Source organism: Homo sapiens, chromosome 11, assembly GCF_000001405.40.
Source record: "Homo sapiens chromosome 11, GRCh38.p14 Primary Assembly".
NCBI lineage: Eukaryota > Metazoa > Chordata > Mammalia > Primates > Hominidae > Homo > Homo sapiens.
In genome coordinates, this window is record NC_000011.10 from 106,973,050 (window position 1) to 106,986,809 (window position 13,760).

Consider the following 13,760-nt stretch of genomic DNA (forward strand, 5'->3'; position numbering starts at 1 on the left):
TATCTAACTATCTCAGGGAAAGTATGTAAGCAGAGAGCAGAATACAGAAGTTGTCTCTAATTTACACAGAGCCACTACCTAAAGTCTCTGTTTAGGAATTGTTTAATAAGATTATATGATGATATTCTTAAACTTTTCCATTAAAAGAAATCAACAACATCAGAAACACAGCCTTTTTGCAGGTTTTGTGCTGGCCTAATGATGTCTAACACATGAGGCCAGCTACGTAGCAAGATCAGCTTGAAATATGAGCAAAAAAACTGTCACAGTGTTTACTATAGCATAGCTATGAAACCACGTTTGTGTTGTGATGGGAAACACCATCACCCTTAGTTAGCATTTTCAACACCTAAAATCTAAAGAACAATCCTAGTTTCTAAACTGAAATGATCCAAATTGCAACACAACTGAACTTTCCTCAATACTGACAAGAAGTTTGTCTCATACAAGCAAGTATCCCAAGTACATTTGAAAGAGCAAAGCACTAAGCAAAATGTGACATCATGACGATTCTAAGAATTCAGAGAACTGGAAAGGTGGTGTGTAATTAGCATCAGAGGAGTGATGACACAGTCAACAACTCTGGAAGGCAGCACAAAGTAATGAGAAGAACATGAGGTTTGGAATCAGACTGAAATGAATTTAAATTCTGCCTCTGTGGCTTGTTAACTCTGACCAAAGATATCAACAAGTTAGTTAACCTTGCAAAGTATCAGTTTTCTCACCTAAAAAAGTAAGCAAACCTTCTGCATCTGATGCAAACATTATTTGGGGAATACTCAATAATAATAAAAGCAAACATTCATGTTCCATTTGTTTGTTATATACCATGCTGTTCTAAGTATGTACTTGATATAAATTAACTCATTTAATCGTCTTGGCAACTCTAGGAAGTGTGCAATTATATTATCTCCATTTTGCAAATAAGAAATATGAGGTAAGGAAAGATGAAGTAAATCATTCCAGTTCGTGCAGCTAGTAAGTAGCTGAGATGCATTTTCAACCCAAGTAGTCTGGCTCCAGTCTTGCTCTAAATCACTACATTATAGTAACATTATTAAGTTATTTCCCCTTCAACCGCCTTAATTCCAATTCATTCTAGTAAAATACTGAAAATATTTACTTTTAATGAAAGAGGAAATTGATCAGTTACCAAGTTATAGTAACAAGAACTATAATGGCAGAAGTTATTTATTGCTATTAATCTTAACTCACCAATAAATATGGTAAGTTGTTACTACACTAACTAGTTCTCCAAGATAACAAATATGTTAAACATATTCTTATCTACTAAACAATTATATTATTTAGAGTTATTCCCAGAAAATCTCCAAGTTAGTCTTAACCTAACCTTAAGCTAATTCTTCACAATTTTATGACTAATTAAAAGGCTCCTAAATACACATTACAAATCACAGTGAAACAAAAAAGTATATACAAGTTGACATATAAGCAAAAAATCATTACTTATAAAAAAACAGAGAGTTCCATACCAGCTAAAGATTGTGGAATCAGTGGCATCTTATAAATGATTTCACAGTATTTCAGGATCCCTGATACTAAGAAAATATTGTGAGGAATAAGCCCCAAAGGTCATTTCCTCTATCCTCCTTACTAGCCCTCTCCCAATAAAATAATCCCATGATAAGCATTGCTCCCATTCTGACTTAAATGTGTTACATTTTTAGAGAAGATAAAGCAACACTCTGACAGAGAGAGACCTTTAAAACAGAGAAAACATCAATGAATATCTTTTCAGAACTATGCACTTCCTGACTATTTTGAGAGGAAATGCACTTAGCAAGGGCAGTATAAAACTATACTTTGAGCAATACTTAGCAAATAACTGATGCTTCCTAAACCTGCAAATCTTTATATGCTATAACTCCTCAGTAAATGAATTAACCTAGAGCTCTCATTTCTATTTGTTCTCTAAACTACTGTGGGAAGTCTTTTTCCTACACCCCAACTCCCCCATCTGGTAGCTCCTTAAAGCTCTACAACAACTGAAACACCCACAACACCCTTAATAGTATTAGAACTTGTTAAAACTGAAATAGTCATAACCTCATTTATATTTAACTTATTATGACAAAGGAGACTATGCAATTTATCATCCTTCTCCCTTAACTCTCCTACTCACTTTGTCTCCCTGCCTACAACACTATGTAAACCCAATCCATAAGAACAAGTAGCAACATTTCAGCAGAAAACATGGTACACATGCTTTAATACATGCTTCATCATACCATTCAACCATTACAATTTCCAAGAAAATACTAAATGTTGCCTCATAGAGCATAAACACATTTCTACTATTTAATTTGAGCTAAAAATAGGCTTTGCAGATTAGGGCTAGAAAAGATTTTCTATTTTTTGGACAACTAAAATTAGATCATTTTGGTATGCAAAAGACATTATGTACCAAATAAAGCAATAAATTTAACTCTAAAGTCCTCCAGCAGGGAGGGCACTGTCTACTATCTTTCTTTGCATGGCCAGAGTTTCAAGGGCCCAGCCTCCATTATCACAGCAATTGGCAAAGCACCAAAATATGGTGAAGAGATGGCAAGAAACAGACCATAATCAATATCCGTAATTTGTAAATGATGAGACAGAAAATAGAAACAACCAGTTTCTAAACCAACGAAAGGGAAACAGACATCAAACATTTTGATATCTGGAAGCAGTTCTTTCCCATTACTCCAGAGGCATGAAACACCTTGTAGGGCACAACATGTGCTCCCAGGGAGTCCCATGGAAGAGGTGAGAGAACAAATGAGTGACAGAGGCATAACAGGTCTTCTCCAACTCACTTTCTCCCTCTCCTCAGGTCCTCGTTTTTATTCCATGCCACCCTCTAAATGCAAACTTCAACCTGAAGAGCCAGTAAATGACCAAACTTTCTAGAGGAGTTGTTTATACTAAGTAGGTAGAAATGCTCATTTTGGAAGGAGAAAAATTGCTACTATGATCATATCTTGTGATCTATGACTTCAAGTCTTTTTTGATGATGAAGTATAAATAATATACAAATAAGTGAATAAACGAACACATTTCCAGACTCTAATACAACCCTGTAATAGGTTAAGAAGGTAAGAGAAATATATGTTTGCCAATCTCAGTCCACCAATATTCTAATCACACTCCCCAAAGGTGATAAATATAAACCATGGAGTTGGAACACTGCCTTCTGCCATCCAAAAAAAAAGGTTCCCAGGCATCAAAATTTTTCTTATCTTGGTTGAAATGTTGTTTTCCTGTGCCACCCCCCAACAACCTCCCAAAAAACAATTTATGTCATGCTTTTCTGTCCAGTAAGCTGACCAATTCTTTCATTCTCATATATGATTACAGAAGAGAATTTAAACACAACTTTAAAAAAAGATAAAAATCTAAACAAGCCAAGATTAATCATAGCTCAGTGACTTCTTAAAAACAAAGCTTTTATTGAATATGACCGCTAACGCTGTCCTCAGAGAGTCAATATATCAAGAGTTCTAAAAAGACATTATTCAAGGAGAACAGCTACCTCTGTGCCAGCATCTGGTTGACAGGTGGCAGGCATTAAATGTTAATGTTAATGTTAATCTTCAGAAATTTAAACTTTACAAGATTGTGCTTTAAATCTTGAAAACAACCTATCATTACTTAGAGGAAGAAAATAATCAGACCTAGTATCTCTTTTGTAGAAAAAGTTACTATTCATGGAAATCTAAACCCTGTTACATGATCACCTTCTAAGTTATAAACACTGCACTCACCCTAATGTCATCAGGCAGCACACTGCCTGCTGTTCTTCTCACTCACTACTTATCCAACATCTTAGGGCAACCTTCGAAGGGCAACTAAGCTGTGCTGGGCCAACAGTGTCCCCTGAAAACCATTTCAAATTGACCCAGGGTTTCTCTCCGTGGGAATTGTGCACACTCATTTACAAGCCACAGTCCAACTGCCTTTAGCACCCCAATATAATCATTATCTTTGAACACCTCCTATTCCCTCTAACTCAGTGATTCTAAAAATAGGGAGCATAAAGAAGAAAGACGTGAGGGTCAGGAAAGTGTTTAGAAACTGGATAAGAAGCAACTTCTCAAAATATTAAACATCCCTTCACTGAGATTCTGATACATCCCTTTTAGTGTGGCATCATCACCCCACCCCTTGAAATCACAATGCATTAAGAGAAATGTATGTTACTGAAAGGAGAGTCCTTGAAAATATAAAATCAGAAAACTTTAAACAACTCTTGGGTAATGTCTCTTTTAATCCCATCCCTTATTTTCTCCAGTCATAAGATTTACTTGGGTATTGTGACATCCCTGCAGTTGTTCTAAGATTAAGGTGATGAATCTTTGGCCTCCTTTTCACTACCCATCACTGTCCTGCATGCTGTTATAGACAAACCACTAACATCTATATGCATCCCCTCACAAAAGGTATACATTTTCTTATTATACAATTTTGTGTTTACAAAAGTTACCTAGGATGAAAATGTAGCCAACCGGCAGCTGGATTCCCAGCTTGAATGTAAAAGAAGTCTACCTCTAGAAGTCTGACATGTTTAGAAAATCTGATAGACCCTTGGGTTGGGGTAACCTGGAAACTGTTTGTAGGAGAAACTCAGATGCCTCCAGGGAAAATACTATAAAGGAAAAGAAAGAACATGCAAACTGGTTTGCCCTATTGTCCATCACCTGACCCCAAAAGAGATTCTGCATTCTGTGTGGAGTCGCTCACTAAGATTTATTATTCCCCACTAGCACCCTCCAGCACCCCATGGATTCCTATCTGGGTCATAAAGAAAAAAGAATTCCAAAAAGAACTTAAAGAGAAATTTCTCACTAGAAACATCTGTAAGACATTAGGAAAAAAAATATTTCTTTTAGAATACATTGCATGGAATACAATGTAGCTCTCACACACCAAGAACGTCAGGTAGTATGGTAGTACAGCTCAGTTATGGTAGCTTACGGCTGTATAATTGGCTGCAATTTACAACAGTACCTTTTAGCCATGTTGGAGCATCCAAAAACAGCCCCTCTGTCATAAGTACAAATATCTTTAAGATGGACACTCCCCTAACCCCAAGTAGGGCACAGACACCTCAGGAGATGACCTGCTTCACTGACAAGGCCACAGAAAGGAACATTGGATTGTAGAGTGTTAACAGTACCTGTGGGCCACCCTTCTGCCCCAACCAGGACCTCCCAGAAGTAATAGAGTATGACTGAGAGGAAAAAAAGATCCTACAACTTTAGCTGAGAATAAGGGCCAAAGAAATATGGATTATACAGAGCTAATACTATTCACATGTGAATATCTGAAATTGTTTCCCTGGAATTTAAGTATTTTTGTTTTGATGTTTTTCCATCTCTAAGTAAGTGGCATGCAAGCAATTTCCACTCAAACATCTTCAGGAGAGTTAACACCCATCACTTCACAAGGTCTGGGTCTCAACTTGCCATATTCTCCACATCTCTCTTTGGTAGAACATGAAACACTTCCACCTCGACTTTCCCTCTCTTTCATTCTCTCTCATCCATATAAATATATATAGTTAATATACCGAGTATATTAGCAGTACACTGAAGAATTCCTGAGACATCTTCAATTTCTTCTTTGTTGGAGTGGTCTGCATAGGAGCATCTGTTAGAGATATTGTGGAAATTCTTTTCTGCATCCCTGTAACTAAGAAGAAAACAAAATTAGCATAAGGAGAAATTTTTGAAAGCATCTGCGAATGCAACTCATATACACACGCACAAGCACACGCAGTCTATGCTTTCATCATAGTCACATTTTAAAATAAGTGAAGCTTTGAGACATAATTCTGGCATAACCCACCATTCACATCAGCATTTGCAGTGTAGACCTGGAACTGGAGGCAACTGTTAACAAGAAAGCTATGTGTGAAAAAAATTGAAGAGAACAAAAAATATATCAGCTTTGTACAGCTAATGTATCACTCTGAGAGCACTTCATCAAGGCTAGTGATCTGTTTCTATAAGGAAGCTGCCTAGAAAAGGAAAAGTTAACAATGTTAATTTGGTGTCCTGGCATTCAATGGTGTTGAAAGTAAACACACCATAACTTTTGTCACAGTCAAGAAGATAGCAGTATAGGCCGGGTGCGGTGGCTCACGCCTGTAATCCTAGCACTTTGGGAGGCCCAGGCGGGCAGATCACGAGTTCAGGAGATCAAGACCATCCTGGCTAACACGGTGAAACCCCGTCTCTACTAAAAATACAAAAAATTAGCCGGAAGTGGTGGCAGGCGCCTGTAGTCCCAGCTACTCTGGAGGCTGAGGCAGAAGAATGGTGTGAACCCAGGAGGCGGAGCTTGCAGTGAGCCGAGACTGCGCCACTGCACTCCAGCCTGGGTGACAGAGTGAGACTCCGTCTCAAAAAAAAAAAAAAAAAAAAAGAAGAAGATAGCAGTATGGTGTATAAATAACATACACCTGGCAGAATTTGAGTCATGGTCTTACCATTTTCTATCTGTGAGATCTTGAGCAAGTAACCTAATCTCTGTTAGTCTAAATTTCCTCTCTCATAAAATGGAGGTACCTTCTAGAGTTCTTGTGAGGACTAAATAACACAATGCCTGTAACTGGATATTGGCTGGGACTTTTTGAGTTGCCTCTGAATGAGAGCTAAGACAAAAAAGCTGAGGACATTAAAGGCCAAATCCTCCCACATTCCAAAGGGGTAGCCAAGAAGACCAGAGCTCTTCTTCAGGACTTAAGAGGAGACTAAACAGCCACTGCCCCTGTCACTCTACCACCAGCTTACAGAAGCAAAAGAACAGAAAGACTTCAAAATAAAATCTTCAGAAGAGTGAGGAGTTGGCCTAGGAAGAGAGTGCTATGGTACTTTTCCCCCTCCCCTCCTAGAAAAGGAGAAAAGGGGAGTGTTCCCTGCAGAAGTCCAGTTGGTGAGGGGGGTCCACAGCTGGTAGAGATTGGGGATTACCCATCTCATTCCCCAGTGAACATCTGCAGAGGCAGTGGATTTCCTGATCATACTCCCCTGTCTGACTGATAAGAGGAAGAAGACTCTGGAGAAAGTTATCGACAAGGAAAAGAAATAGAGCAAAATTGGGAGCAACCTAAAGGCCCACCGTTTGGCAGGGCAAATATGTGAATTTCCCATGGGTTAGGGAAGAGAGAGGCAAGCTTGAGTTGTCTGGTTGTCATGGTGCTCTTCCAATCTAGAGGCTGCCAGCCAGGGACAGGGCTCCCACTAGCAAGACCACGAGAGTGAAGTCCTTAGGTGCAGGAGCTGGGGCATCCAAAAGTGTCAGGGCGGAACTCATACATGCACCCTAGTGAGGGCATGACAGCCAAGAGAGGACTGCTACAACCCCAATGAAATTTTCCATTTTCCATTTCATTCATGCCTCACCCAATACATCCGAAGAGAAAGGGACACAGAAAAGAATGGCCTGGAGAAGAGGAGTGAAAACCCACATCATACACTCTGTCCTGTATTCCAAGTCTCTTAGGCCAAGTCCTGACCCAGACAGAGAAAGCAACATTAGAGTCAGACTAGATATGAGAGTAAAAATTTAAATTGGTCTAGAGTGAACTTCATAATTCTTGGAAATACTTGGAAAACAGAGCAATCTGTCTAAGCTAATATCGAAGGGGATGTATCCTAGCATGCTTGATGTGAGTGGAGGGAAAAATAAAAAGGTTTCATGTTTGTACACCTCATTGAGATCAGACTCCAATAAACCAGTTAGGCAAAATGCTTACTACAGTTTCCAGAATGCAGGAGTCACTCAAGAGGTGGAACAGGGAGCACAGATGTTAAACACAGGCAACCCCACAGGGTTATTTTTAATTCAACCTCCACCATTTTTATCAGAATGACCTTAAAAAAGTACTTTTTTCTCTCAACCTCAATTTCCTCATCTGTAAAATGTGCTTAATACAGTACTCTTATGCAATATTTTTAGGATTAAATAAAAGATGGAAAGTGCCCAGCATATCTCCTCAAACATAGTAAGCAATCAAGAGATATTAGCTTTTGTCTAATTTGTTTATGTTCAAAAAGATACAGTTTTTTTCTATGTAAATATATAAAAAAGAAGCTAGATCATTTTTAGATTAAAATAAGCCACAAAATCTGATCATGAAAGCTTAAGTAATATCCTTGAAGTTTGTTTCTCAGAGTAATCAGAATTCACCCATTCTTAATTTCACTCTAGTGTTCTACTGAAATTATTCTGGCTTAATTTCTCCTCAATTGTCAAAAGAAAAAGAGAACAGAAGGTTGGCTGTATAAAACAAACATAGGGCCCACATTAATAATTGGAGCAATACAATTTAATTTTAGATGACTATAAGAATTGGTGTCCCAGACTAATATGAGTTTGGCAACAGTCCTATCCATGATATTAACACAGCAATGCTTATTCTGGCAAAAAAAAAAAAAAAGATAAAATTACTGGCATGGTTCTGAATACATATTTCTTTATTCTTTATTGTTTAAAATATATAGTGAGTGAACACTATATCTCAGAAAGATTATCACATCTCTCATAGTAGTTCACTGAAGAAATCTGTGCTTCGTCTACCCTGCCATGGCAATCCATTTTTGTGAGCCATAGACCAGTAGGAATCATGTAGTAGAAATATGAGTGAGAGCAGTTGGGTCAAGCCCTCTAGAGACAGAAATTTCAGTCAAAAAAAAAAAAATCAACGAAAAAGATGTTCTCTGTGAGAAGAAAACTGCAGTTAGAACACGAACTGGGCATGTTCACCACCAGATGCTAAACAACAGATTCTAAACTTTAAAAGGCCCAAGGAAGACAGGAAAAGGTTGCAGCAGGAGGATAAACTGAAGACAATCCACAAAAGTTGAATTGCAAAAGAGTCATTTACTAACAGTAGTAATAATAATTCAATTCATTTATTGATTATCTTTGTGTACCAGGTACTATGCTAACTACTTTATGTGATTATATGACTTCATACATTATTATCATTAAGATTTCATTTAAACTTCACCACAACCCTGTTATTATTCCCATTTTTAAAATGAGAAAACTGAGGCTCAGGTATTTTAAGTAACCTTCCCAAGATTATTCATAGCAAAACCTGACTATATGTCTAGTAAGTTTCATATGTCTACTTACAAAACACAATCTTTCCACAACATACAAAGAGAAGAAAGGGCACTATGGCAAGAATTATATCAGAAAAAAAGTACCATTATAAACAGACATTCCTCTATCCTCAGTTGCTTTTAATTTCTAAAGTGAATCCTGCCTGTCTGCTACTGACTTCTTCTGCTCCTCACTAATCTTTCCACCCCACACCACCCAGAAAGTTAGTCCATTCCCTAGAAGTTTGAGTTAAAGAGCAACTAACATAAAGATGCACATTCAATGCCCCCTTGCTCATTCTAGGTGGAGGAAAGACAGTGCTATGGGAACAAGAAGCTCTCCAAGTGAGCATGAATATGTAGAGTTTATATAGTAATCAAAATTTTCCACAAAGTCAACCTGACACGATTGGAGTTTGAGGTAGGTGATGGAGAGATACTTTAGACGGGGTGATCAGGGCAGGCTTTCCTGTAGAGAAGACATTTGAACAGAGACCTATATGTATATAAAGAATAAGCCGTGCAAACATCTGGGGAAAGAGCATTGCATAAGAATGAAACGATACATACAAAGGCCCTGAAGCTAAGGTTGGTAAGTTGAGAAACCAACAGAAGGTTGAAATGGAGTGAAAAAAAGGAAAGTGGAAAGGGATGAAATTACAGAGGTAGGCAGAGGCCAGATCACAGAAAGAATTTAGACTTTATTCTACCATAATAAGCCATCATATAGTTTAAAGCAGGGGGTTCAAAGTGTGATCCCTGGACAAGCAGCATCAGCATTACTTGGGAACTTGACAGAAATGCCAGTTTCTTGAGCCCTATCTGAACCTAGGAAATCAGAACCTCTGGGAGCAGGGCCCAGTAATACGTGTTTTAACAAGGCTGGCAGGTGATTCTGATGCACATTAACATTTGAGAACCATTGGTTTCACATAAGAAGGTGGCATGATGTAATTTTTTAATTGCTTTGCTGTGGTGAAAATACATATTGGCGGACAAAAGTAGAAACCAGAAAATTAGACCAGAATGTCTTGGTGAGAGATGATGACGATAGTGGAGATGAAGAGAAGATTTATCACATTGCATGAATAAATTATTTTAGCACTCATTTCCCCAACTTGAATGATCTCTATGAATAAATAAATGAACAAGTGAATGGATAAATTAAGGAACAGAATAATGTTTAAAGATAAAGTGGATAAAGTACAGAGAGGCTATCTTACTCCCTAACAGGAAGCCCCATCAGCTACTCCCTCCCAGTCCTTCTGTCTGTGACCCTTCGAAACAGCTGCTCTCCGCGTTGAAGTCTCAGTCTTGGCAGACACAAAAAGCCTCAGAGAGTTTCTATGGGCAACCAGTATAAGAATCCAAGGAGCAGAACCGTACAATCCTAGAGCTCTGATAAATAAAACAGATTAAGGGCAGAGTTTTCAAGGAAAGGAAAAGAAGGTTAGTGGTTGAAGGATAATTAAGAAATTAAAAAGAGAAGGGCTAGCTCATACTCTGTTACCTGTTCTGCTTCAACACCTCAACACAAGGTATTTAAATGCTGAGTTATTTCAAGACAGCTTTAAGCAAGCCCCATTTCAGAGATTAGGAAAAGCATCTCCTTCCCACCCTCACCTGCCAAAAAATAACTAAAATTATGCTTGTCGGCACTTACTCTCAATTCTCAATACAGGGATTTCAAAATCCCTTTAACTGTAAGAAACACATTCTTTTTCACAATTAGAGATAGGAAGCCTTAAATTGTATTTTCTTAAGAGGAACAACATACAGCTGTAAACACTTTTTAGTTCGAGGGTGAGTGATATTAGCTGCTCTGCTTTCTTGATTGTGAAAAGAGAAATAGAAAGTAGAAAGATGGAGAATAAAAGGCAAAAGAGGAAGTTGGACAGGAAAGTCATCAATGAGAAAAAAGGCAAGAAAGGGGAATACAGTCAAGAAAGGCAAACGTGACAAAATTGCTGCCAACAGGCCCCCTTTGTCTGCATCAGCATGAATGCAAATAAAGTCAGTGAGCAAAGGTACTTCAAGTCCAAGAAATCAGCCAACACCCAAGCAAAAATATGTTAATAGGCCTATTTGAATCATGCCAGACATCAAGACCCCTCTTTATACTGGAGTCAAACTCTCTGTTTTCTTTATACTGTGTATGCAATAAACAGAACTAGGAAAAGACCATTCATGCAATAGACAAAGAAGCACCACAGACCATGTCTACATAGGTAGAAGGGGAGGGCTGAGGCAGCCAGCTGGATAAAAGGGAACTCCCTCCATTCTATCAATGGAGAAAAAACTTTTCTGATTATAGCAATATAGTTTGGTTATCTATTTTGATCACATTATAAGAGTCCCACTCCAATTTGCCTTGAAGGTATACTTTAGTTCAAAAATGAGAATATTTCATCAGTTATTTTATTTCGAAAGCGAAAGAGCATTCATAATCCCAGAAAATTAGACTTTGATGATGGATATTGTCATAAAAATATTAATAATAACGATAAACATAAAAGCAAACAGGTATGTAGTGCTCACCACATACGAGGAACTATTTTAAGTATACTAACTAATTTAATCCAAACACCATACTTGGAAAGCGGCAAATTCAATGAGAGTGATTAAGTTTTATTTCAGGATATGTGGAGAAAGATTAATTTGACATTCTTTATCTCCATTAGGATAAACCATTTTAAATCACTAATGGCCTCAAACTAAAAGCCATCTCATGAGTTTAAATAATATGTTTTTCCTAGAACTACACTCTTGAGGATAAGTATGACAAAGTTTCAAAGCAATTCCCTTTTAAATGACAATTAACATAATCATCAAGCACTTAAAGTATACGGCATTGTACTAGGTACCGAGATTATTTTTCCATTAAGATTTCTTCCCTTCTGTTCTGTGAAAAAAAAATCACACTATACCGTAATAATCAAAATTATGTTATTGATCCCTATGGCAATGGCTATTAGCCATAAATGTTAAATGATCCTGAGAGCAGTTCAAGAAGTACCACAGTTTGAATCTTGACTTCTCAAAAGTTCTTAAAATCTTACAAAGATAAATCACTGTACCATATAAAGAATACTAACAAGGTAAATTAAAATATATACATTGCCTCTAATGTCAATAAATTTAATCTAAAAGCTAGATTGCATGAGTAGGTAAATTTAGGCTTTCATACTTGCCAGCTGCTTTCTGCCACAGCCAATTAGAGGTGTACCTCATACTCATTTGGAGCTCTCTGTTTACAAAATGCTTTCATTGAAATTACCTCATTTAATCATTACATCTAATCCTTGATTTAGTTATTATTATCATCACAGTTTAAAAAAGAGATAAAGTTACTTAGTAAAAGATCTATTTGCTAGTGAGGCCTTGAAGTCCTGTCTTTTGACATCAAGTCTTCTTACTTTACACCACATCACAACCACTTCAAGAAATAGATGATAATAAAGAAAAATATGTAGCACGTGACTCTAAGTAAACTAATTCCTCTCACTGAACTGTGTTAAGGCTGTAGTGATTCTTATCAAACTCTACTTAAGGATTCTAAAATCCCATTCAAAGCATCTGGGTTGGTACCAATAAAGCTCACCACATTAGTAAGGCATAATTATATGATTCAACATCGGAATAAAAGAGTAAGAACATGAGAAGACTGAGAAAAAAAAGAAAAGCAATACCAGAAAGTAATTTCATTTAAAAGAATTAAGCACAAATAAGCCAAAAGAAATCACTCCAAGGGACTCCCCCAATAAGCCTTCACGCCCCACACTATGAAAACATAGCCACTATAAAATCAGGTTGACCTGGGTAGCAGAAAATCACATACTCAACAGCTATGTTTGAGTAATTACCTTTAATTTGTCCCCAATAATAACCGAAATCAATTTTTACTTACCCAATAACTTGATGTTCATAATACTGCAGTGTCCTCTTGAGAGTCTGCTGTATCGTCTGAGGCTACAGAATAATAATAATAATAAAAACATATTATCAGCAAATCAGTACCATTCCCACTGTGAGTATCGTAGGCAGACAGGTGAAGCTTCTGATTTATCTCTTGAGAGTTTTCCTTCTACAGTATTAACCCATTTTGCATCATGCCATGTATTTTCCCCACAGAAACTAATATGAGGCACTCGGCAATTACCCAGAACTTCCCAATTTCAATTATGATAGTATTTCCTAGGAATGTTTTCTTCAATTCTTTTGTAACAGCTATTAAGTTCAATAAAATACACATTGGCTGCCTACAATAAACCCAGGCCCTGGGGATAGCAGGGAGGGTGCCCTGCAGAAACATGAGTCACGGTTTTTCCTTTCCAGCATATGTAATCTGCATGAGGTAATGAGCAACTGAAATCAAATGGCACGTCTTCATATTTTCTTCTACATTTTAACAAGGTTTTCAAGGATGGTCTAGCAAGCAGTGATAAATTGAGTTAAAAGAGTCAACTTTATAATAAAAGATATTTTTAAACTTAAATGATATTTTTTTCCCCGTTCTTTGAGGAGACTAACAAAAAGGCAGAGTAGGATGGGAAGCAGGTGATCCAGGGCCCCACAGCCATGACTGTCACAGCAGTCAGCCTGACTTCCTCCATGTCCCAAGAGAATTCAAGCAAAGGTTCTTTCTGG

General features: G+C 37.5%; 1 protein-coding gene across 2 annotated transcripts in view; it reads right to left on the bottom strand.

Annotated features, from left to right (window-relative positions):
• The window catches only part of GUCY1A2 (guanylate cyclase 1 soluble subunit alpha 2), a 344,458-nt gene that overhangs the window by 299,031 nt on the left and 31,667 nt on the right, over nucleotides 1-13,760 (bottom strand). For both annotated transcript variants that reach the window (NM_000855.3, NM_001256424.2), the window contains exons 2-3: nucleotides 13,021-13,082; nucleotides 5,570-5,691 (exon numbers count right to left, since the gene is read on the bottom strand). In NM_000855.3, coding sequence (NP_000846.1) covers nucleotides 5,570-5,691; nucleotides 13,021-13,082 — 184 coding nt within the window. The remainder of the gene's footprint in view (nucleotides 1-5,569; nucleotides 5,692-13,020; nucleotides 13,083-13,760) is intronic.